At 35.7% G+C, this 25,447-nt stretch overlaps 1 long non-coding RNA gene across 1 annotated transcript in view; it reads right to left on the reverse strand.

The window, feature by feature from the left end:
• Positions 1–3,912: 3,912 nt before the first annotated feature.
• Positions 3,913–25,447, reverse strand: part of LOC105372044 (uncharacterized) — a 74,947-nt gene continuing 53,412 nt past the window's right edge. Inside the window, exons 4-5 of the long non-coding RNA XR_935327.3 lie at positions 5,369–5,412; positions 3,913–4,873 (exon numbers count right to left, since the gene is read on the reverse strand). This is a non-coding gene — a long non-coding RNA (uncharacterized LOC105372044). The remainder of the gene's footprint in view (positions 4,874–5,368; positions 5,413–25,447) is intronic.

Raw genomic sequence — 25,447 nt, forward strand, 5'->3', positions numbered from 1 at the left:
ATATCTGTCTAAGAAAAGCATAAGAAATGGCATTTCTAGATAGATAAACTGATTATGTAATTTGGCAAAAGAAAGAGTGCACAGGCCCATCATTGCCCCGGTAAATCAAAAGGCCCAAGCATTCTGAAGCAGATTTTATTTTTAGCATTTTCTCATGTCAATAAGTCTTCTTCAAAAATATCTTCTGTCACAGCTATAACCACCCATCATTTGAATATGCTCTCAATGAGCCACTCGTATATTTATTGGAAATGTAGGTCATTTAAATTACTAGATTGTTTCTCATAAAAATCTATATATATATATCTTTATACAAACAAGACTATTTCATTAAATATAAAAAGGCTGAATTGCTGGGTCAAAAGGTAGGAATGTGCTTAGGGCTCTTGAAACATATTGCCTAACTGCTTTCCAGAAGTTTGTATTCACTTATATTCCCACTCATATGTGAAATTGGGTCATAATATCCTTGACAAATTTGAAATTTTGAAAAATCTTTGACAAATTGCTTGGTAGAAAATTACATCTTATTGTTTTAATTTGTATTACTGAGTATATTATTTATTAGTCATTTACATTTCTACAATGATAATATTTTAGTTTTATTAAAAAATACAATCCCTGTTTTCTTTTTTCATATTGCATAATCACTTTTTCCAGACAGCAATACTATTTCTTGGACTGTTATTAGGCAGATAATCACACACTGAAGTTATAAACGAAGTAATAGAGTCATAAAAATTGCTAATGTAAAAATAACTGAGTTGAATAATGTTATTATATATCATTTATATATTATACATTGTTGTACAATTCACATTGTAGTCCATTAATCAATTGATTATGCACTTCTTTGTGATACTTCTTGAAATGTTACATTGTGATATTTTCTTTCCCTTTTGTTATTTAACCTGAATGTGTTTCTATTTAGCTTCTGCAGTGGATTCTAAGCAACTTAGGCTAGGAGCATTGATAAAAGCCTCTATTAACTATTTTAACTTCTAATTGTATCAGGTAGCATGTGTTGCAGAATCCTCAAAACACATTTACTGACTGATTAGGTGAAGGGACAGATATAATCTCTCTATGCCTGATGGACGCAATCTTTTTCATCATCTAGGGGCCACAAGAACACAGTCGTTAAGCCAGGGTCATCCTGTAGGCATGACCTTTAGCATACAGCTGATTCACAAAGATTTAAGTATCATACATTGTCTGAGGTCACAAAGATTTTCCCTGGAAATAAAGCAGAAATACAGCATGAGGAGCAAATGGGCATACGGGCACACACAGGAGCCCATCTTGACTGATATTATCCTGTTTGCTTCCTGGAAGGCGGCACCTCCATCTCTAATCCTGATCTTTCTCTGACCCGAACCCATCAAGCCTACCCAATTTCAGTTCTTATGATCACTCTACCTGCTACCTTCATCTGCACTCCTTTACCTTTTCAACTCTGATTTGTCTTCTACATTCTTTTTCTGAGCTAAAAGATCTACTACATTAGTTCTGCCTAGGAGTGACCCATTTCCAATCTTTTATTTTTACTATCAGGCTTCCTCTTTGCAAATATTTTCTCCCCACTGCTGAAACTACATATGAATTGAGTGTCTCACCTTATTCTGCCCCAATTTTTTTCAGGATGGTTGAGTTCTGAGTAAAAATGGTCCTGAAATACTACGGCCGCTACAGCTTAGCATATAGCTTCTTTAGCTGGAACTGCCCACACCCCAAGTCTAACTTCAGCTGGCACCTGACATACTTTATGTAACATTGTGACAACAGAAATAACTTGGCACCCCTCTTAGGATGAAAAGGAATCATGTAGGTCAGAGGCTGTCTTTTTATTTGGATTTATTACAATGTGTCGAATTGTGAATCTGCATCTCTCAACCTCTCCAGTGTTCCCTGAATACTACTTAGGATTCAGCATAAATCAGTTGCTGGCCAGCAGAAGTGCAACTTTAAAAGGAAAGCCCAAAAAGAGCAGAGTTGAGGTGGGGTTGATGTATAAAATGAGAATTCCAAATCAACCATGAGTCTCACTGCTTCCAAAAGGAGTGATTAAATTTTTATCTATCCAAAATCTTTTGGGAATAGGCAAACATTGAAATAGGCCTTTATTTTTTTTCTTTTTTGTTTGTTTTTCTTTGCATTGTGAAGTGCCAGCATTTTCATAAAGTTCTGAAGCCGACATATATTATCTTTCATGATTTGACCCTTTCTGACTTCCTGAAGTTTTATCTTTTAATCTTTGCCATATATATTTTGTTCCTAGGTGTTCTCTGAATGTATTATTGTTGTCTTCCTGCTTAACATCTGAATACATATTTCACTTTCTTCTCCTGTGTAATTCCCACAAATCTGTCACGACTCAGGATAGCAATCCTCTTCTTTTTCTTTTTTTTTGAGATGGAGTCTCACTCTGTCACCTAGGCTGGAGAATGCAGTAGCGCGATCTTGGCTCACTGCAAGCTCCACCTCCAGGTTCACGACATTCTCCTGCCTCAACCTCCAGAGTAGCTGGGACTACAGGCGTCCGCCACCACGCCCGGCTAATTTTTTAAAATTTTTTTAGTAGAGACAGGGTTTCACCGTGTTAGCCAGGATGGTCTCAATCTCCTGACCTCATGATTCGCCCACCTCGGCCTCCCAAAGTGCTGGGATTATGGGCATGAGCTACGGCGCCCGGCCAGCAATCCTCTTCTTTATTTAGTGTTTGTTGAGTCTCTAAGTTGGGCTCAGTGTTTCTCTTCTATGCACCCATTGCCCTATGAATACCAGCATCATGGTGCTTATTATGCTACATAAATGTATCTATATTTCACATGAATGTTTGCCTCACATGTATTGTCGCAAGGTAAAGAGTTAAATCTTATTCATTATTGAATCCATTATGTTCAGAGTAGTGCCTGGTATGCAGTAGATGTCTGTTACATAGAATGAGCCTCATAATAACCCTTTGAAATCAACTTTATTATTATTCATATTTTAGTTATGAAAATTAGGTTTAAAACAATTGCTGAGATTCGCCTGGAGTTAAATAATGGAGCCAACATTTGAATCCAGAACTCTCTCCAAAGTAGAGATCCAAGACCATATAGACTATAATGCCTGTAGAACACAGGTTTGCATCTGTCTGGCATACTCTGTGTCTAAATTTATGCATAGTCACAAATAACTGTTTTCTTACAATACCTGCTTGGTTGATCACCAGAAGAAGGAAGTCCTTTTGAAATATATATATATTTTTTTGAGACGGAGTCTCACTCTGTTGCCCAGGCTGGAGTGCAATGGCCTGATCTTGGCTCACGGCAACCTCCGCCTCCTGGGTTCAAGCGATTCTCCTGCCTCAGCCTCCTGAGTAGCTGGAATTACAGGCACCTGCCACCATGCCTAGCTAATTTTTGTATTTTTTAGTAGAGATGGGGTTTCACCATGTTGGCCATGCTGGTCTCGAACTCCTGACCTCAGGTGATCCACACACCTCAGCCTCCCAAAGTACTAGGATTACAGGCATAAACTACCATGCCTGGCCCTGAATCACATTTTACTCCATGCTCAAAGACAAGGAAAAATTATATAAGTTGGTCAGATTTGAGACTACTTTTAAATTACGTTTTATAGATGGTGGAATCAAGTCTGTATAGGCCAAAAACAGAGCAGTTTCTATGCAAGTTTGAGAAGTGGTGGCCCCTGAAGACTTTGTCCCATTAAAGGAGAAAATTCAACGACCAAGATTTTGGCTCTATTGTTGCGGGATCCAGGAGGACAAGAGAGGTCTCGGGTTAAAACAGGAGAACCTTTTATTGAGTGCACTCAGGCCCAGCAGACTCACGTCCAAAGACTGGGCCCAGAACAAAGACAGCACTTGACTTTTATATACACTTTAGAAAAGGGGGTCGGCTAGCTTGAAGCAAGCTTACAGTGGTGTGAAAGCAGGGATACAGAGGCAGGACAAAGACAGTTAATCAAATTGTAACAGGTGTATAACGTAGGATTGCACATAACCATTGCTATGCAACCCAGATGTCCGTTATCTAGGTTTGCCTAGGCACGGGCTTATCCCATAACCTTCACTATGGTGCCCAGGCAGCTGTAGTTCAGGCCTACTCAGGCTTCTCATGACCTTCGTTGTACTTCTTAGATAAAACAATACTTGAAGTCACTAGTTACAGAGAACAGGAATCTATAAACTCATTCCATAAAATAAAGGAAAATTTGGTTTTTCTTCTCCGTATGTTGAGGGAATGCTGGGAGAGCCTCCAGAGCACATTAGATAATATTAGCAAGAATTTTCCTGGGTCTGGGCTGTGCCTGTTGCTGCCTGGGACAAGTTAGCCTAATACAGGAAAACTTATTTCTCTTTTTAATTTTATTTTTCTTTAATTTCCTGCCTCACTAGGACAAATGGAGAGAACAGGTCTCATAAGTATTTGATTGTACAAAACATACCAGCATATCTAACATTTAAAATAAAGTATGCTTTCGCTTAGTGTCTTGAAATTCCACTTTAGAGTGTATGGTAAACGCACAGTAGAATGCTTCTTTGTTGTGTTTTAATTATATTGTGTGTATACTTCCCTTGGGGACCTTGCAGGAAAGAATAACAGTTTGTGGATAAAAATGGGATGTTCACAAGTTTCCTGGACAAAAAGTCATTACAATATTACACTGTAATAAACCCCACTATTGTTATTATGTAAACAACGTAGATCTTCTTGGTGATCCAGAGTGATCAATTTGTCTGTTGTGGAGGAGGGATGTACATCTGATCAATGAATACCCTGGCTGTGGTGCCTGCATATTTACTGAGTCCCTGGGAAGGGGAAAGGAAAGGTTTCCCTGTCTCTTACCAGAGCTCTCCCAAGTCCTGGCCAAAGAGAAGAAAAACAGCAATCATAGGTCTGGCCACATGGATTCCACAGCTTAACTAAAATACAGCAAGTTTGTCCAAAGTTAGTTTTCATTTAAAAGCAGGCAAGAATTATTTTATTTCTTGTGGATATTCAGAAAAATTAAACGTTGTTTAATCCACATTCAGATAGCTCCTAATATGGCAAAGTGAAAAATAAAGAATTTTAAGATGAGCTGTTTGTCATTAACCATGCAGCTTTTCTGAGGCAATGCCCTATTCTTAAATAGTTTTAGTCACTGTGAATCTTGGCTGGCCATTTCAAGCACTGAGTCATTGCCTCTTCTAAACAACCATTTATCTAGAAACAACTCAGTTTATTTCAAAATCCACTCTTAGTGGAAAATGACTTCCAAACAGAATTTGATGTATTCTCCTCAAGCACGGAATGAAAAGAATTCTGAGATCATCTTAGACTATGGCTCTGCACTAACTCATTCAAGACATTCTTACCAAGAGCAGTGAATGGGAATCCATTCAGGAAACTTGCTGGAATTCTAGTATAAAAGGAAAAAAAACAGTCAACATTTGTGAAAAAACTACTCATTAACTTCTGCATACTTCAGGCTCAGGTCTCCCAAGAAAAAAAAAAAGACGAAAAAGAAAACTGTTCTAATACATGCTTGATCACAAACAGAAAATAGCTTATCCAGCTTTCATTATGTATAATTCTTACAATTCTCCATTTCTTAGGACAATAAGTTAAAGAAGCTTCCTGTGTACTCATCTGTTGAGATAAGATTTATGCCATTGAGTTAAGGACATTTCAGCTTTTGTTCAGACAACTACCATGGCATAGTTTCAAGTATGCTTTAAAAAAAAAAACCTTTTAATTTAGAAAGATTTTTATAAAGTTACAAACATGTAAGAATGAACATAGTACAAATAGTACCAGGTTCAACTATTGTTACTATTTCAACTCATTTTCTTGGTCATTTGTGTCCCATATCCATGTGTGTATGTGTATGTGTGTATAAGTGTAGATGTATGTGTGTGTATTTATATACACAATATTTTTGTGAATTATTAGAGAAGAAATTGCCTTTATTAATTCTCTGCATAACCTAAGTGCAATTCTAAATTCAGTAAATTTATCAGTGAAATAACACTTTTAACTCATTTAACATCTACATCCCAGTTTTGCCAGTTGATTCAATAGTGCCCTAAATAGCATTTCACCTTCTCCAGTACAGGATCCAGTCTAGGAAGAGATATTGTGGTTAGTTGTCATTTATCTTTAGACTCAATTTATACGGAACATTCACATAGTCTTCCTTTGTATTTTTTGACAATATTTTTGAAAAACATCTTTTAAAAATATTAAAAGTGTTATTTCGTGTTTCTCTGATGAGTCCTCATATTCATCTCAGGTTATGCGTTTCCAGACACAACACCATGTAAGTCTGTGTCATTCTTAGCTTTCACATCTGGAGATGTCTACCAGATACTAGATACCCATCTGCTCTTCATTGCTGATTTTAATTTTAATTACCTTGTCAAAGAGTTGTTGATTTCTTCACTGATAATTAAAACTTTTTCTCTTGCAACCAGTAAGTCTGATATAGATACTTCAAGATAATACAGCCATGGATGGTCTAATGACATTTCAGTCAATAATGGATTGCATATACTAACAGGGTTCTATATTATAATACCATCCTTTGACTGTACCTTTTCTATGTTTAGATACAGAAATACTTACCATTGTGTTACAAATGCCTACAGTATTCAGACAGTAATATACTGCACAGATTTGTAGCCTAGGATAAGTAGGCTCTACCATACAGGCCAGGTGTGTAGTAGGCTATACCATCTAAATGTGTGTAAGTACACTCTGTGATATTCATACAACAAAATTGCCCAAGATGCATTTCTCAGAATGTATTCCTGTCATTAAGTGATGCCTGATGGTACAAATACCCTGCTCCTCATCAAAATGTAACAACAATAGATTCATGCTACTATCAGTCTTTACTGTGATCATTGCAAAGTGCTTATTTATTTTCCACCTCCAAAACTCCCTCCACGTTCACCAAGAGACTTGCCATTCTCTACCACTTATTTCACCATTTATTAGCAACATGGACATAGAATTTATTTTCAATGGTTAATATTTCATTACTATACTGAATCCTTTGGGTACTCAAATTACCCTTCAAGCTGGCTTCTGAATTCTTGTTACATGCCCTCATTAACTTTTTGTGTACTTTTTGGCATAACATGTTCTAGGATTCTCTTATGTCTACTCTTTTCCAGCTCTGGAATCAGCTATTTATTTACTTAAATAGCCTAGGTTATAATTAGTGTAGATGGTACTAGAAATAAAGACTTTGGTGTAAGGTATGTTCATTTAGAATTTTTTCTAGAACCTTTTAGCAGACAGAGTTAAGAAATAATACATATATATACATAGACACATATGCAGCTGCACCTACATATACCCATACATACATACCTATGAACATATGCATGCATATACGTATTTTACAAATATGTTTCCACCAATATTGTCAATTTCCATCCATCTCTGCAGGTTTCTTTTCTGCCTTCCTTCTTCCATATTTGTGTGTTTCTCTTTCACAGTGAGAATCCACATTTGACAATGTTATAAAATACCTAAAGTGTTTCAAAATTGATCTGTACATATTCCTACTTCAAAAAATACCCCAATCTGCTAAAAAGTGTTCCCTTCAACATGGCCCAAGACAAAGCACACAGTTAAATTTTGTGTTCATATATAACTTGAATTGTTGCTTTCCTTTTCCCCTTCAGTAGTATTATAATTTTAATTTGAAGCACAGTTGAGCTTACTTGCTTCTGTTTGCTTTCAATTTTACTTTTTCTTCTCTCCTTTCCATCCTTGTTGATTTAATTTTATTTTTCAAACATATAGAATATTTACATGCTCCCATCACCAAAACTGCATGAAAAATATACTCAGAAAAGTGCTCCTTTCTAAATATCCTCCAACCTATTTCCTTGTAACTTATGCAGGTGACTCTATCAGTATAATTTGATCAACAATGCAGAGCCACTATATATTAGGATTTGGACTTATATAATTGTGGGGACTGATTAAATTATCTATTTGAAGGCTGATATTTCTGTTAGCTGCTCTATGCTGAAGTTCACAGGCCAGGCTGTAAAAAAGGCAAGAAAGATATAAAATGGTGAAAACACGGAAAATCTAACACCTGTGAGGCTGAGTGGTAATCCATATAGATGGAATAGAATCTAGATCCATGACAGGGTGGCCTGCATTGGTGTCCTTCATCACGAAGCTAAACTTCTACTGGACACAGGCCTGGAAAAGCTGAAGCAGAGGATCTTCAGAACCGGGAGGAGCGTTGCCCTAGTTACTGCCCCCATGTCAATCAGGAGCAGTACGTAAGTGACAACAGGCATGATCTGCAACAGTGTCAGGCCCTGAGCTGACCTCCCAAGCGTAAAAAGAATATAGCTGCTTTTACTGCCGCCTTCTCATTCTGGTGGGAAAGTCTTTGTGACTCACACGAACTCCAACCACATATGGAAGGGAATTCTGAGAAATATAGTCCCAACTTAGCTAACATGACACAATACAAATCTACCACAATTTATGACTTGTCAACTTGGCATCCATATATATTTTTATGTATATATAATATTTATATATAACTTCATATAGAACTATAGTAAAAGAATATCTCATTTTGCATAAATTAATGTAGCTACCACTTCTATGGCAAAAATATATGCAAAACTCTCCATACAATATTCAAACTAACCACCTTTGAGCCATGTTAATTTCTTTTCTAGAAGGGTGACATCTCCCTTTTGACATCCTGGGACTTTCATAATAAATATAAGATGAATTACTATGACACATAATATTTTAGATGACAAGGGAATGACAGAAAGGAAAAGAATAAAAATAGTATATGCACAAATATATCAAATAAATAGTTATAACTATTAGAGTCCTTGTCTGTGGCTGGACAAGTGGCTGTAGTTGGTGTTGATAACTACCTTTTCCCACAACCCATTCCATATTCTTTCTATTCTCAGCAAGCTTCTCTTTGGGTTATGGTTTTTGATGGATGGAGTTAGCCAAGTTTTCATTGTTCAAAAATCCTTTTGGTATTGGGTTGTTCTGCTTTTCCTCTGACTTAAATCACAAACTGTTGGAATACTAAGAACTTCCCTGGCATCTCTTGCATTCCAAATATATATCTTCTTATCCTCGTTGTGTAAATTCAACCCAATTACCACTTAATAATCAGACCAACCACTCTAGACATAATAAATAACCCCCTTCTTTGCCTTTTGATTCAGTAACACAAGCAGCCAAATTGGACATGTGGCAGTCTCAGCTCCCAGCATAATGGAGCGACTGTTGGGTGTCCTGTGTAAGTGTTTTTTCTTGGGAACCAATACTTCAAGACCAACAGAACCCAAAGTTGCTGAATGGGAAGCCAAATTTTGACAGTGGATAAATAGTGACACAAAAGAAATTCTCATTTCTACCCCTTGACACCCAGACCAAACCTTTACTGTGAAAGAAGCAGTGCAATATATTGGTCACTCATTTAGAAACTTCCTGTGGACATAGCAAGGTCCTACGTTGACTTCACACCACACAAATGTGTTATCAGTGTTGCCACTGAGCCAGTAGGTGTTGCTAAAAGGTGTTGCCACCTAGCAGATACTATAATTGAGCCTTAAAGGGCAATACTTTATTTTTTGAATATGTACCATGTTAACATGTTCCCAAAGTCAGAAAATACAAAGTTATATTCAGAGAGGGGTCACTCTCTCTCTCATGTGTTTTCCATCCCATCACCTTCCCTCCAATCTGTTGAAGTAACAAATTTATTTGTTTACTGATGTGCTTTCTGTTTCTTTTTGAAATGATAAGCAGATATATGTAGAGTTTTAATTTTTCCCTTTTTTACATGAAGGTATAACCATATATATACATATATGTATGTATATATGTCTGTGTGTGTATATATATACATATACACATATATATGTGTATATACATATATAATTACTTGTACTTTGCTTTTTCCTCTTACCAATACTATCACCTGGAAATCAATCCCTATCAATTATAGAGGTCCCCTTTTTATTTTATCTTTCTAATTTTGTTTTATCAGCATCATATTATGCCATTGTGTACATACCACTCTGTATTTACCAATTTCTTATGCTTAGATATTTAGGTAGCTTCCATTATTTTGCAGTTATACAGTGAATAACCTTGCCCATTTGAATTTTTAATAATGTTGGAGGTGTATCAAAAGGGTACATCCCTGAAAGCAGAATTACTGAATTGGAGGATAAATGCGTGTATAATTTTCTCAGATTTTGCTAAATTCTCCTCCACTGGAACTGGCTTAATTGCATCCTCACTAGCAATGTGCCTGTGGGGATGCTCTTTGCCCAAAGCCTTGTTGAAACGTGTATTATCAATTATTAGAGATTTTGCCCATCTCACAGGTGAAACATTGTAACTCTGTGTGTTTTCATTCCACATTTCCCTTACTATGAGTGAAACTGGACAACATTTTATGTTTAAGGTTGTTTTTATACTTTTAAAAACTGTCTTTAATTTTAGCTATTTTATTACAATAGGATTCTTGGGTTTTTCCTCTCAGTTGTAAAAAGTTCTTTGTACATTAGTGGTATTAGTGCTTTTTCTATAATATATGTGGCAAATATTTTCTCTTATTTTGTCATCTGCCTTTTGACATTGTTTAGGATTTTTTAAAACCATGAATTGGCTTTTTTTAATCATGTAAAATGTATTAATCTTTATTTTTTTACATCTGGCATTTTAGTCATAGCTATAAAACTTTTCCTTCTATGCAGATTAAAAAGAAATTCACTCTAATTTTCTTCTAACACTTAAATTATATACATATGTGTGTATGTACATATGTACATATATATAACAGCATCTATGTATATAACCACATATACATGGTTATATGTTTGGAGTTTATTTGTGTGTATGCTAAGAAGAAATGATTTAATTTTATCTTTTTCACAATAGCTGAACAGTTTAACCAAAATCATTTACTTTAACAAACACACAGAAAGCAGAACTTTACTCCATTGATTTATGATTCCACCTTCACTCGATTTCTATGAGTAGTTTTATCTATTTCTGGTCTTTCTAATCTTTTTCATTAGTCTCTCTGTCTTTCCGTGTGCCAGAACACTCTTTTAATTATAGCATCTTTCTAGTTTGTTTTCGTGTCTTCTGGGACTAGTTCCCCATCTCTACCCCATATCTTTTCTTTTTCAGTGGTTTTTGGCTCTCACTGTGTGTCAAATCTTCTAGCTTCATTAAAAAAGCTTCTTGGTATTTTTGTTGAAATTCCTTTACAGATAAATTAAACTTAGGAAGGGCTAACATCTTGATTATGTTGAGCTTTCTCAACCAAACATAAAGGATATCTATTTATTCAGATCAATTGTTCTTTCAGGAGTGTTGTATGGCTTTCCTCATTAAAATTTTGCTTATTTTTATTAAATTTATTTCTAAATAGTTTATCATTTAAAAAATTATGAAAAATACAACTTTTGATTGAACAAATGATAGCCACTTACCTGCCAGTGGGTCTTGGGAAGAATACATACATATATATCTTCCAATTAGTCTCCTTGTAAATAGAAAAATACTGGTACTAAACCAGTTTCAATTTAGAAAAAAAGAAACTGGTCTTGCTGCTTAGAATATAAGTTTCTTCAAAAACTCATAATGCATTAGAATCTGGTAATACAAGAACATGATTGACATCAATTGTATCTGTAATGGGACTAAGCACTTTCCCAACTGCATTGTCCTCATAGGAGAAGTGAGTATAATCATATTTTTCTAGCACACTTTAGTAGTTAGCATTGTTCTAAGTAAAAGATTCAGCTATGGGAGGCACTCAGTCAATATTTGTGATTCTGAGTATTAACGCATACATATTTGATAGAAGAAGAAAAGTTGCTTTCTAGCAAACATCTATTTTATCCATGAATCAGGCAATATTATGCCCTAGTTTGAAAATTATCTATCTGTAGAGATATTGGAAGATGAGTATTTTGTGTGTTTTTTTTCCTACTGACACCTGCATTTTATGGGGGAGAGAATAGGGCAAAGACAAATAAGCTGACATGGAATGAGGTAGTTCATATTCCTCTTCCCTTGGGAGGGATTTTGAGGTGTGACAGCCATAATTTTGAGGTAGTCAATATGGCCTTGAAGTTCCCCTAAGCTTGACTAAACTTTAGAGAGATTTCTTTCTAACTGTAGGTTCCTGACCTCACTTTTCTTAGAGCATTCACTTTAGAAACCACTTCATTGTAAATTTGTATCTGTCCCTTTGAGAGGTACATCTTCTGCAACCCAGAAATGTCCTTCTCAAGGACCTGGGAGCCACCTCTTTGAAATGTAATCACTGAAGGCCATAGTGCCCTTTTCTCCCAATTTCTGTGGGGGAGTAGGGGCTTAGCTTCCATAAGCACCAATTAGCAAATACAGATGATCTCATTGCATTGACTAACCACCCTTCCCCACCCCACTCAACCTCTTTCAGTATTTCTTTATTAGTCATCTCAGCACCTAAAAACTCTTTCACCTTTTGTTTCAAGAGAGTTGAGTTCCTCCTTTCAAGTATTCCTTGCAGTTTAAATCCACCTGGTACAATTATTCTTTAACAGAGACCTTTAAATATCAACTTGCTGTGCAAATTTTACAAATTAACTTTATTGATGGTAGGATAAGGTAAATAATACTCTCCAAGAACAATTATGCATTTATAAGTGGCCCTTGGGGTACCTTAAATATGTGGGCATAGAGAAAGTATTCATTTTAAATTGATATGTAATAACTGCTTTAGTGTGTGTTTAATGAAAAAAAAACAGATACTGACTCTCTGAACATAAAAATTATTTTTGTCACTCTGACAAAAGAAGAGTTTGACAGAAATATTGAATTATACTTAGTAGGACACTATTCTTGAGACAGCTTCATTGTTTTCAAAATTTCTTGTACTTTGCTTCTTAATTTTCATCCTAAATTTAAACAGCTTTGTTAGGTTTCACTAACACACCTCTGTGCCTAAAGAATAGCTCTCTACCTCGGTTTTGCTATCAATTAATCTTTCATTTTGGATTTTTTTCTTTTGTTACCTATTTAATCAGTTTGGCCAACTTTCATATATACTACAAATGACTTTTCCTTTCAATGTCTAGTTTTTTATTTCATTTATTTGCTAGGTATTAGAGACATAAAGAAGATAAATGATTCATAAAAGACAATGATTAAGAAAGAATTTCTGTCCTGAAATTTCTTAAAAGTATAGTGGGGAGAGAAATAAGTAAACAGCTAACAGTAATATAGTATAGTAAGTTGTATGGAGTTATTTTGGACTGACTAGAGAAAAACATATACTGGACAAATAATCTCAGCCTTGATGGTGGTGATGGGGGAAGTAGTGGATACATGCGGGTTTGTGGGAGGAAGCATCCCTCAAATGGGTACCACTGGAGAGCAGAATAAGTGCTGAAGATATTGGTAGAAGGTGATGAAGAGGAGGAGTGCTGGAAAGGTAAACAGGAAGTTTCACATTAGGGAGTTTAAACTTGATCTTGCATGTGAGAGTGCTGTTGAGATATTCTGTAGTTAGAAACTTACTGGCATAATCCTATTTAGGATTTAGAAGAAAGGTCTGGTTTTAGTATTGGAATGATTTGGAAGTCGTATTAAGGTTTTATAAACTTTTTGGTTTACCTTCTTAATAAATGTAAGAGAATTTAATTGTTGAGTAAATTTATTATTGTGGCTGTGTAACATGAACATAACCACTAAGAAGTGAAAATGTTTGATCAAACTAGTGATTATATCGTTATCTTGTAAATTATTATACTGTTATATATTATTTTTATTTTTAGACCAAAAAACACTCAAAAATTGTGAAAATCTTTTAACCAGCTTATGTTCATAGATGAAGTCACTGAGAGATAAAGATGTTAATAACGTGCCCAAAGTTACAAAATCGATTACAACTATATTTGGCTTTCTAGCATAAACACTTTCTCCTTTCAAAAATCAGGCCTATTTCACCCACAATTTTCTGAGTGGCACTGAATGTTTTTAATGGAAATTGAGAAAGATGTTTTGTTTCACATTGTAGCACAGAAGAAGTGAATGTTGGTCAATGAGACAATTCGTAACTCCAATTCAGCAGAAGCAGAAGCCTAGAACCTGGGGTGGGACGAGGATGGAGATGAGAACATGATATCCCATGAATCTGCAGCAACACTCAGGAGAGCTTTGGTCATGTCAGAGTTTAGATCAGAGGTTGGACTGTTTACTTTCTGTTCTTAAAGACCTCTAGCTCTAACTAGCATGTCTTACATTCTGTAGTACTTCACAGTTTTATACCTTTCAAGCAGTGAATTCCCTACCATAATCCCAATAGATAGTTGGGGTAACATTTTTTTTTTGCTTTGTAAAATTAATCTTTAATATATAAAACAGAAGATTTTATTGAGCTGTGGATCTGAGTTCAAAACTGATATATTCCTATTTTTCAGCCTAATGATTTTAGCTATTGCCACATTATATTCATTATCTCTCCCTTAAAAAAGTAGTTTCCTTTGAGTATTCATGAAATTTACATGCAGTAACATTTCTGATTGTCTTTTGTTGCACTGAAGTACACCCATCCGACATAGGAGTTTATGGTTAGAAATAAGCTCATAATTTATTTTGATAGAATGCTAAATATCTTTCATTTGTCTGCTTAGATTTACCCTTCACCCTCTTTCCACCCTGCTCTGTGGTCTGTGGAGCTGATCCATTTAGCTTGCTTAATGATGCCCTTGCCCTCTGGCTTCCTGTTGGCTTTGATCAATAGAAGACACTAGCAGATGAGAGGCAGGAGAATGAAGACTGGATATATGTTCCCCTGGCACCGTTTTGCTGTTACCATCTGTTAGCTGTATCCCTCTGGGTGACCTCTCTGTTCTGGAAACTACTCTGTCCTTTCAGCACTAGGGGGAGTTAGGCTCCCTGATGCTGCTAACTTGAGTTTATTACATTTTCCCTTACTTCTATCCCTAAACTCTGTCCACATTTTTATACATTGATCCTTTATTTAAGTCTTTCCAATTGATCCAGTTTGAACATGACTATTTAGAATTGTCATTTTATTGGTGGAACACATGAAAGTTGTCATGCTAGTGTGTGGCACGTGCTAGCAGGAGGCCGCATGGTAGTATTTAAGAGGACGGCGTTGGGAATAATAGCCCGATTTCTAGCCTGGCTCTCTACACGGTGATGTTGAGCACATTTCCTAATGCTTTCGTTCCTCAGTTTTCTTATTCGTAAAAGAAATACACCTATTTCATGAATATATAAGTGAAATATAAATATATATATATGCGCATATTAGAACATCGGTGTCCAATAGAGATATGAGAACAATAAATGTGAGCCACACATTTTATATTTTTTAGTAGCCACTTTAAAAAGAGTAAGAGAAACAGACAAAAATAATATTAACTTAACCCAATATAAATGTTTACTTAACCCGATATATTTAAAATATTAACATTTCAAAACGTACTCAGTATAAACATGGAATAAAGAGGTATTTTACATTTTTTACAAACAAAGATGTAGCAAAAATGTAGTATATGTTTTACACTTACAGCATATCTCAGTATGGACTACCCACATTTCAAAATCTCAAGGCCGACACATGGCTAGTGGCTCCCTATTGGATACTACAGCTTTAGTAGCTCTTTGAACCTACACTTTTATATTGGGGATCAGAAAACCTTACTCCGAAATATCGTGCTTAACTTGAAGCAGCCTCAAGATCTCTCTGACCTTTCCAACTTCCCTCCATCTCTCAATCCTCTGACTCTCCCAAAGCACAGGATGAAACTGTTCTCTGAAGTTCCCTGATCTACGTAGAAACCAGACTTGCCAAAGAGAAATACGATTGCCTCCCTGAAATTTCATTAGCCAGTGAAAATTAAAACTTATATCACAGAGGAAGAGAGGCTAAAAATTAAGCACCACACCTGGAGCCCAGGCAAACTTTGTGTCAAACCTTTGTCTTTTCTGTCTCATTTAATTTTCAAAGAAAAATATTTACTAATAATTGTCTAAGTTTTAACGCCATTCATTTCCCCTAAAAATTGTTTTTCCATTTCTCAAATTGCTACATTTTCCCCATCTCCTCTTTCCCTCTGAAAAAGAATATATGAGCATCTGTACCCTACTGGGTTATTAAGTAACCATTGCCCTGTAATTCTCCTGTGATATGTACATTAAAATAAATGTATATGCCTTTTTTTCGCTATTAGTCCACTTTTTGTCAGTTCATTTTCAGTGAACCTTCAGAAAGTGAAAGGGGAAGCTTTCTCCCTTGGCCTCTACATTTACTTAAACAACTTACCTGATTAATCACTTCTCTTTATTCTTTCTGTTAACCAAAATGTGCTTATAGGATGCTGAGTATCCAGAGTTCACAGGCAACATTTTTATTCAGTAGTCCCTGCTTACCTATGGGAGATACTTCCAAGACCCAAGTGAATGCTTAAAACCACAGATTGTACCAAACTCTCTCTAAATACTATCTTTCCCTATACATACACACCTATGATAAAATGTAACTTATAAATTAGGCACAGTAAGAGGTTAAGAACAATAGCTAGTGATAAAATAGAATAATCATAACAATATACTGTAATAAAAGTTATATAAATGTAGCCTCTCTCCCTCTCTCTCTCTGTCATATTTTGGGACTGCTGTTGACCATGGGTAACTGAAACTGTGCAAAGCAAAACCTCAGGTAACGGGAGACTATTGTACATCCATGAATATCTGCTCCCACCATTCGAATTATATACTTAAGAAGTATCATCTGTATCTTTTTCAAACCTGTTTATGCCAGTTATATTGGTTATTATAATAATTTAATATATTTGTTTATAAACCATTGACATAGCAGTATGGAAGGAAATAGAATTGTCAGTTCTATAAAAATTAAGCTAAATGCTTTGGGAAGGATCAATAAAGAGACATTAATTTATAAAAAGTGGATGTAGTAGAGAAAACTGAAAAAAATGTGGAAAATAATCAATAGCTGGAGGTATTCTGCATTCAGACCACTTTGCAAGTGTTAGCAAGTTCGTGCTCCATTTAAAGAAAATGAATCTGGGTATCACACAGTGATCATATGGTTGTGTTTAATGAAAACTAAAATAAAATGTAAAACTCCAATATAAGGATATATAATAGATATTGACATTATACCCACAAACTGGTGGGTATAATGATATCTATCTATCTATCTCTCTCTCTATATATATAATCTATACATACATTCTACAGCAAGCCCCATGAGGGCAGGTATCACATTTGTTTAGCTTGCCTCTATATTTTCAGTGCTGGAGTGGTGATTGGCTCAAAGTAGATGCTCAACAAATGTTTGTTGACAGATTGACTGACTTGTTATTTCCATATGGCATCTCTGACTATGCAAGCCGGTTGGTTTTTCAGTTTATAGTTTGCTGTCACATTTTTAAAAACATGATATTGTTTTATTTACAACAGATATAATTTTACAGTCTTTTTTTTTTCTAAGCGAAACATTTTAAGTCATCTAGAAAGGGAAAACTCATGCAAAATTTAACTCAGTAAATTTAGACTTGATGTTTTATTAGAACAATGCCTTGCTGGGGAAAATGGAAGAGAATAAATAAAATTTAAGTCTATCTGTTCCTGAGGAGGTCAAAAAAGCTTGGTTTTCATATGTTCTGGGGAGCTGTGAATAAATATCCAACAGAGCTCATCTGGATTCACAATCTGTTCATCAAAAGCACCTAAAATTATCTTCTTCCTAAACATCCCTATTAGCAGACATTGGCTATGGTTATACACATGCACCAGCTTGAAAAATTCCCTGAAATTACCCAAACAAATGTAGATATTATAGTTATTGAATTTACGCCTCGCACCTCCCATTGATGGTGAAGATTTAGTCACAGTGTAGCTGAAGAAGTGTAAAGTAGTTAAGTCAGAACTAGGATCCTTCCTGAGGGACTTGCCAATATACTTTTTTCTTAGTTCCCCAAACAGGTCATTTTTAATGCAAATTTTAATTAAGGTATTACACAAATAAAAAGTGCATATGTCATAATGGTACAGCTCGATGAATTCTCCCTAAGTGAATATACCATAAATGGTTCCAAGATCAAAATAGGGAATACCACCAACAACCCAGGAGCCCCTCTTCAGTCTTTTTATGGTCATCATCCTTCCTAAGAGTAATTAATATTCTTACTTGATTGCTATAGATTCTTTTTACCTACATATGAACTTTGGATGAATAGAAGCACCCAGTATGTACTGTGTAGTGCCTGGTTTCTTTCACTCAGTAATATTTAGAAGATTCATTCATGTATGTGGTTGTAGTTTGTTTATTCTCATTGATTTGTGGCAGTCTTTTGTAGAAATACACCACAATTTATTTATCTCTTCTACTATTAGTGGATATTTGCATTGTACTCAGTTTTTGGCTATTATGAGTAGCTCTGCTATTAACATTCTTGCATGTCTTTTGGTGATCATAAGAACACATATCTGCTGAGTGTTCACTTAGGTGTGAAAGTCTAAGTCATAAGATGTGCAGAATGTTAAGTTGGAATAGCTATTGTAGTACAATCTCTTCTGTATTGGGTTAGTTTTCAAAACAAAAAAAGCAAAGGGGATTTGGTCTTAGAAAATTCAACTTGTTGGTTGTTGTATTAAAAGATATATATATATACATATTATATATATATACATGTATTTGTTAATCTCTAATTAGATTCCTTGGAATATTTCCACTTTTGAAGAAACATGTTAGCTAATAGTTAACATTCCTAATGCATTTCATTTTTAAATTTTAAGGCTGTTATTATTTTTCAGAACTGTAGTCACATATTTACCAATAAAAATTCTGGTTAACAGTAGGAATGTATGATATTCATAAATATGATTTATTTTCTAATTATGTCAGGACTTAACATGCTCATGGGAATAGAATTAGGAATGACACTTTGCCATTTGCCTATATAATATCGAAGACACCATTTTGTCAAGTGTATATGACACTGTTTAGAAACAGACTTTCTCACTTCAGAAAACCTCACAAAATATCTGATCAGCCTTGTCGCCTTGCATGTATACTTCTTTACTCCCAATGACACTTTTAAAATTCTCATATACATTTTCATATATACTGTACTCTTATACCTATAGTAGTTTCCATGTATATATGTAGTTTACAAATTCTCAATGATATTTTAAGTCTCTGTTATGTAGACTGTACACAATCTTAAAACACACATGAATCACTTGAGGTCAGGAGTTCGAGACCAGCCTGGCCGACATGGTGAAACCCCGTTTCTACTAAAAATAAAAAAATTAACCTGGTGTGGTGGTGGGTACATGTAATCCCAGCTACTTGGGAGGCTAAGGCAGGAGAATCGCTTGAACCTGGGAAGGAGAGGTTGCAGTGAGCCGAGATCATGCCATTGCACTCCAGCCTAGGCAACAAGAGCAAAACTCCCTCTCAAGGAAAAAAAAAAAAAAAAAAAACCCATCCTCAAGCACGTTGTAAACCTAATTTTAAAAGTATTTTTTTATTTTACAAATAATTTAGTCAGAAACAACCATTTTAAAATATGTAATATCTTGTAAGAAATAAACAACGTTCAAACCCCAAAATTTAATTTTTTGAATCTCAAATATGAGCAAAACAGTCTATCTTTCAGTGGATAAACAGCAAATTACTATTCCAGATTGCTTTCTCTACATTCTTTCCACACATATTTTAGCCCATGTTTTCTGACACCAAATGCTTCTGGTATTATATTTACTTTTGTATGTACAGAATCTAACCTGCTCTTGAACTATTTACAAACATGGCTATGCTTACCTGAATTAAAATTTTCTCCCTTCTCTCTAAGCTTTCAGTCATCAAAACTATCTAACTGTCAAATCTATTAGATTGGTACAAAAGTAATTACGGTTTTTGCCATTACTTTCAATGGCAAAAACCGCAATTACTTTTGCACCAACATAATAGCAACTATTCAATTGGTTTCCTCTTTGACTTTGATGACAATCCTTCCTTCCTCGAAACTAATTTTTTACAATTATTTTAACTGTTCCATTTTCTCTATTTGTTATGTACTTCACTGTGTATACAATTCTATACTGATTACTCTGCAATCACATTCCCTCCATTTAAATATTTTCCAGCATTTGGACTTCAGCCTTCCAACTCTGTATGCTGTGCTGTAGCATCGACCATCATGTCCCCAAACCGTATATGAAACTCAGTCTTCTTTCCCGAGAAATGCGCTTAAACCCCATTTATCCAATCACCTACTTATATAATTCCCTACACCAAGCAATCTCCAACCATTTTATCACAAGGGACCAGTTTCGTGGAAGACAATTTTTTCATAAACTGGGGGAAGGGGATGGTTTTGGGATGATTCAAGCACATTACATTTATTACGTACTTTATTACATTGAGATATATATATATATATATGTATGTGTGTGTATGTGTGTGTGTGTGTGTATATATATATATATATATATATATATATAATGAAATAATTATACAATTCACCATAATGTAGAATCAGAGGGAGCCCTGAGCTTGTTTTTCTGCAACTAGATGGTCCCACATGGGGGTGATGGGAGACAGTGACAAATCATCAGGCATTAAATTCTCATAAGGAGCACACAACCTAGATCCCTCACACGCACAGTTCACAATAGGGTTCATGCTCCTACAGGAATCTAATGCTGCCACTGATCTGACAGGAGATGGAGCTCAGGTGGTAACGTGAGTGATGGGGAGTGGCTGTAAATATCAATGAAGCATTTGCTTTTGGGTTGAATAAATGAAATCCTTGCCTAAGCCAATACCTAGAAGAGGCTTTTCAATTTTATCTTCTAGAATTTTTATAGTTTCAGGGCTTAGATTTAAGACCTTGGTCCATATTGAGGTAATTTATGTATAAGATGAGAGATGAAGATCCAGAGCTTTTGCACAGCAAAAGGAACAATCAGCAGAGCAAACAGAAAACCCACAGAGTTGAAGAAAATCTTCAGAATCTATACATCTGACAAAGGACTAATATCCAGAATCTACAATGAACTCAAACAAATTAGCAAGAAAAAAAACAAACAATCCTATCAAAAAGTAGGCTAAGAACATGAATAGACAATTCTCCAAAGAAGATATACAAATGGCCAACAAACATACGAAAAAATGCTCAACATTACTAATGATCAGGGAAACGCAAATCAAAACCACAATGCAATATCACCTTACTCCTGCAAGAATGGCCATAATCAAAACATCAAAAAATAATAGATGCTGACATGGATGCGGTGAACAGGGAACACTTCTGCACTGCTGGTGGGAATGTAAACTAGTACAACCACTATGGAAAACAGTGTGGAGATTCCTTAAAGAACTAAAAGTAGAACTACCATTTGATCCAGCAATTTCACTACTGGTTATCTACCCAAATGAAAAGAAGTCATTATACAAAAAAGATACTTGCACACACATGTTTATCATAGCACAATTCACAATTGCAAAAATGTGGAACCAACCCAAATGCCCATCAATCAACAAGTGGATAAAAAAACTGGGGTGTGTGTGTGTGTGTGTGTGTGTGTGTACATATATATACATATATATATGTACACATAAATACAATGAAATACTACTCAGCCATAAAAAGGAATGAATTAGTGGCATTCGCAGCAACCTGAATGAGATTGGAGACTATTATTGTAAGTGAAGTAACTCAGGAATGGAATACCAAACATCATTATGTTCTCACTCATAAGTGGGAGCTAAGCTATGAGGATGCAAAGGCATAAGAATGACACAATGCACTTTGGGGACTCAGGGGGAAAGGGTGGGAGGAGGTGAGGGATAAAAAAAACTACAAATTGGGTGCAGTGTATAATGCTCGGGTGATGGGTATACCAAAATCTCACAAATCAACATTGAACAACTTACTCATGTAACCAAACACCACCTGTTACCCAATAACCTATGGAAATAAAAAATTAAACAAACAAACAAACAAAAAATACTGATGAAGCTTCTCTTACCTGCCTGCCACACACCTACTGCTGTGTGGGTCTGTTCCTAACAGGCCATGTACCAGTACCAGTGCGTGGCCCAAGGTGTGGGGACACCTGAGCTATATATCCCAGTTCTGTTTAAAATTCAATTTTTGTTTTCTGTATTTTCTGCTATAAACTAGAATTTTCTCTTGTGTCTCCTTTTTTAGTTAATGGTACTTGTTGGGGCTCAGCAATTGATAACCCAAAATTACAATCCTTTTTATATACTGAACTAAAGAAGAGGCCTCAAGGTCTCTTTGTTTCACCCCCTACCCCACAATCTCTTCCTAAGCACAAAATACAGTTGTACTTTGAAGTTCCATTATCTGCAAGCCCGGACCTACCAAAGAAGAAAACAATTACCTCCAGTCTCTTCCCTGGGTTTTCATTAACTGAACTCATATCACGGGAAGACTAAAGTCTGTCAACAAACCTGAACAGACTTTAGTCTCAAACCATTGTCTGATGTTCTGTGTGCTCAACAGCCTTTGTGCCAGATCATTGTACGTTTTGCAAGTCAATTGAATTGCCCTTAAATTCATCTACCATCTCCTGAACATCATCCACACTTCTCTATCACTCTTTCCTCTAAGAAGTATATAAGCATCTGTACCCCATTGGAATATTGGACAATCACTCTGTGATTCTCCCCGTGCACAGTAGTAAGAAATTTTTAGTCTTTTCTCTAATTTAATCTGCCTTATTGTGAGATTATTTTTCAGTGAAACTTCTAAGGGCGAAGGGGAAGTTTCCTTTGCCCCAACATACCCATGTTGCCTATTTTAGAAATTTGTAAATATGTTTAAATATTTATTAATACATTCTTCTTCTTTTATCTACATTCAAGCACCAAAGGAATCACAAACTATTTCCTTCTCACATTCGTCTTTTTACTGCTAATATATTTCACACATCCATATTTTTTTCATGTACTGTTGTAATTACATCTCTACTGCTTTGAGAAACTCCAATCTTCAAGTCCTCCAATCCATTCTCTACATGCCAGGTATTGTATGTGTTCTTCCCTAATAGGCAAGTAGGAGTGTGCACTTTACCAACATGGATGATGCATATATATTTTTGATTACTCAGGATATGAAAATGAATGGAACGTGCTGTCTATGTCCTCAAAGAACCCACACTTACAAGCAAGACAAAATTGTAAATGACTCTGAGCAGATATAAGTAATATGGGGAAATAAAAAGAGTATTCATGCTCTTTACCATTTATTCATCAACTCTTCTGAGTATTGTTCTAAGCACTAGTGATACAGAACTGACCTGGACAAAAAGATTTCTTAGATCATGAGTTTTATTTTCAATGACAGAAGATTTAGGAGTCAAGGAAGGCTTCATAGGGAGATGACAGGAGGCAAATTTTAAAATCACTATTTCTAATGGTTGTAAGGGAGAAAAGATTTCTTTATTTGCCCATTGCTAGGCTCATGGCTGATACTCCTATAAGAAAAGACAGATTAATAAGAGAAAAGCATAGAAATTTATTTAATATAAATTTTATGTAACACAAGAGCCTTCAGAAATGAAGACCCAAAGAAATAGGAAAAACTGTACATTTTTTTGGACAGTTGTGTTGCAGTATGATTGGAGCTTAACAGGTTATGACCTAATAGCAATGACTTGGGGGGAACTTAGCAAGGCCTATTCAGATTCTTCTCTGTTTTTCTGTGTGATAGTCCTTTTCTCTGGACATAGAAGGGACCCTCCTGGAACGAGAATCTTATGGCCTACTTCAGAGAAAAGTCTGCTAGGGTCTGCTAGGTTTTATACACCTCTTCAGGAAAAGAGCAAGGGGAAGAGGAGAGTGAGTTTTCTACTTCTGTTTTTTCCAAATGCCAAGTGCCATATTTTGAGGTAGTGTGTCTGTAACTCTATCATGGTGAACCTTAAATATTTATATTTTAATAAAATATTTAAGAATGACTTAGAAATCGACAGTTAAAGTCAGTGAGACTATTTTCTGTTGATTAAATAAACTTGCAGAAAAACAAAGAACTTGTACATTCACATCTGGACATATGAGGTTCCCAATGGATGTAAAGAGATTCCCCAATTCAAAGTCTTCACCACCAAAAAACTTTGAATTCTCCTTCAGCATCTTTCATTTGTTATTTCAATCAATCATTCAAGTAATAAAGAAATATTTATTTATTCTCATGACCTAGACTAGCAGATAAAGAAAGGCTTCTCTTAGGAAGTGATATTTTAAGGATGAGTAGGTCTTTGGTGGGGAGAAGCAGGAGGGGGTGAATGGCATATAATGTTCATTAGGGAATGTGGCTTTAGGGAACATGGCATGATTATGGAATTGAAACAAGGGCAGGAAGAGTGGCATGCAGAGATTAGTCTGTCTGCTTGAACGATTTAAGATTCTTAAGTTCAGACTCCAGAGACAAAGTCATTTTCCTTCACATGGCCCTCAAACATGCCAGAATGCCTGACATAGAGTAGGATCTTAATGCATATTTGTTAAGTAAACTAATATGCATAATGTTGCCACTCAGAATGCAATACCCTAATGTGAAGGCCTCAGAAATAGCCACAGAAAAAAAGTTTCTCTCTGAACTTCTCCCTCCTCTCTTTCATCCATCATTCTCCCCCAAGGCTAGCCATAGAAACTAGAATTCCTCTTCCCCAAAGCAGGTCATAGAAAACAGAACCCTTTTCCCCAAAGCCAGCCACAAAACATAAAATATACTCATCACTTTCTCCCATTTATCTGTGTAAGAACTGGCTATAAAGAAATTCTCTGACCTAGTTGGTTTGATTGAAGGCCCTAAGGTCCCCTCCTTTCAGCAAACGTCCTGCCCCATACGCAGAATAAGCAAATGCTGCACAGAGAGGCCAAGAAGAATCTGGATAGGCCTTACTAAGTGATATGGTTAGGATCTGTGTCTTTGTCCAAATCTCATGTTGAATTATAATTCCCAATTTTGGAGGTGGGGCCTCTGGGAGGTGATTGGATCATGGAGGTGTTTCTTCGGAGTGCTTTATTCCCATCTTCTTGGTGGTGTTCTCATGATAGTGAGTGAGTTCTCATGAGGTCTGTTTGTTTAGAAGTATTTAGCCCCTCTCTCACTCTCTCTTACTCCTGTTTCTGCCATGTTAGATGTGTCTGCTCCCTGTTCACCTTTGGCCATGTTCGTAAGTTTCCTGAGACCTCCCCAGAAGCCAAACAGATACCAGCATTATGTTCCCTGTACAGCCTGTGGAACCATAAGCCAATTAAACATCTTTTCTTTATAAATTACCCAGTCTCAGGTATTTCTTTATAGTAATGCAAGGATGGACTAACACACTGAGTT

This window comes from Homo sapiens, chromosome 18, assembly GCF_000001405.40.
Source record: "Homo sapiens chromosome 18, GRCh38.p14 Primary Assembly".
Lineage (NCBI taxonomy): Eukaryota > Metazoa > Chordata > Mammalia > Primates > Hominidae > Homo > Homo sapiens.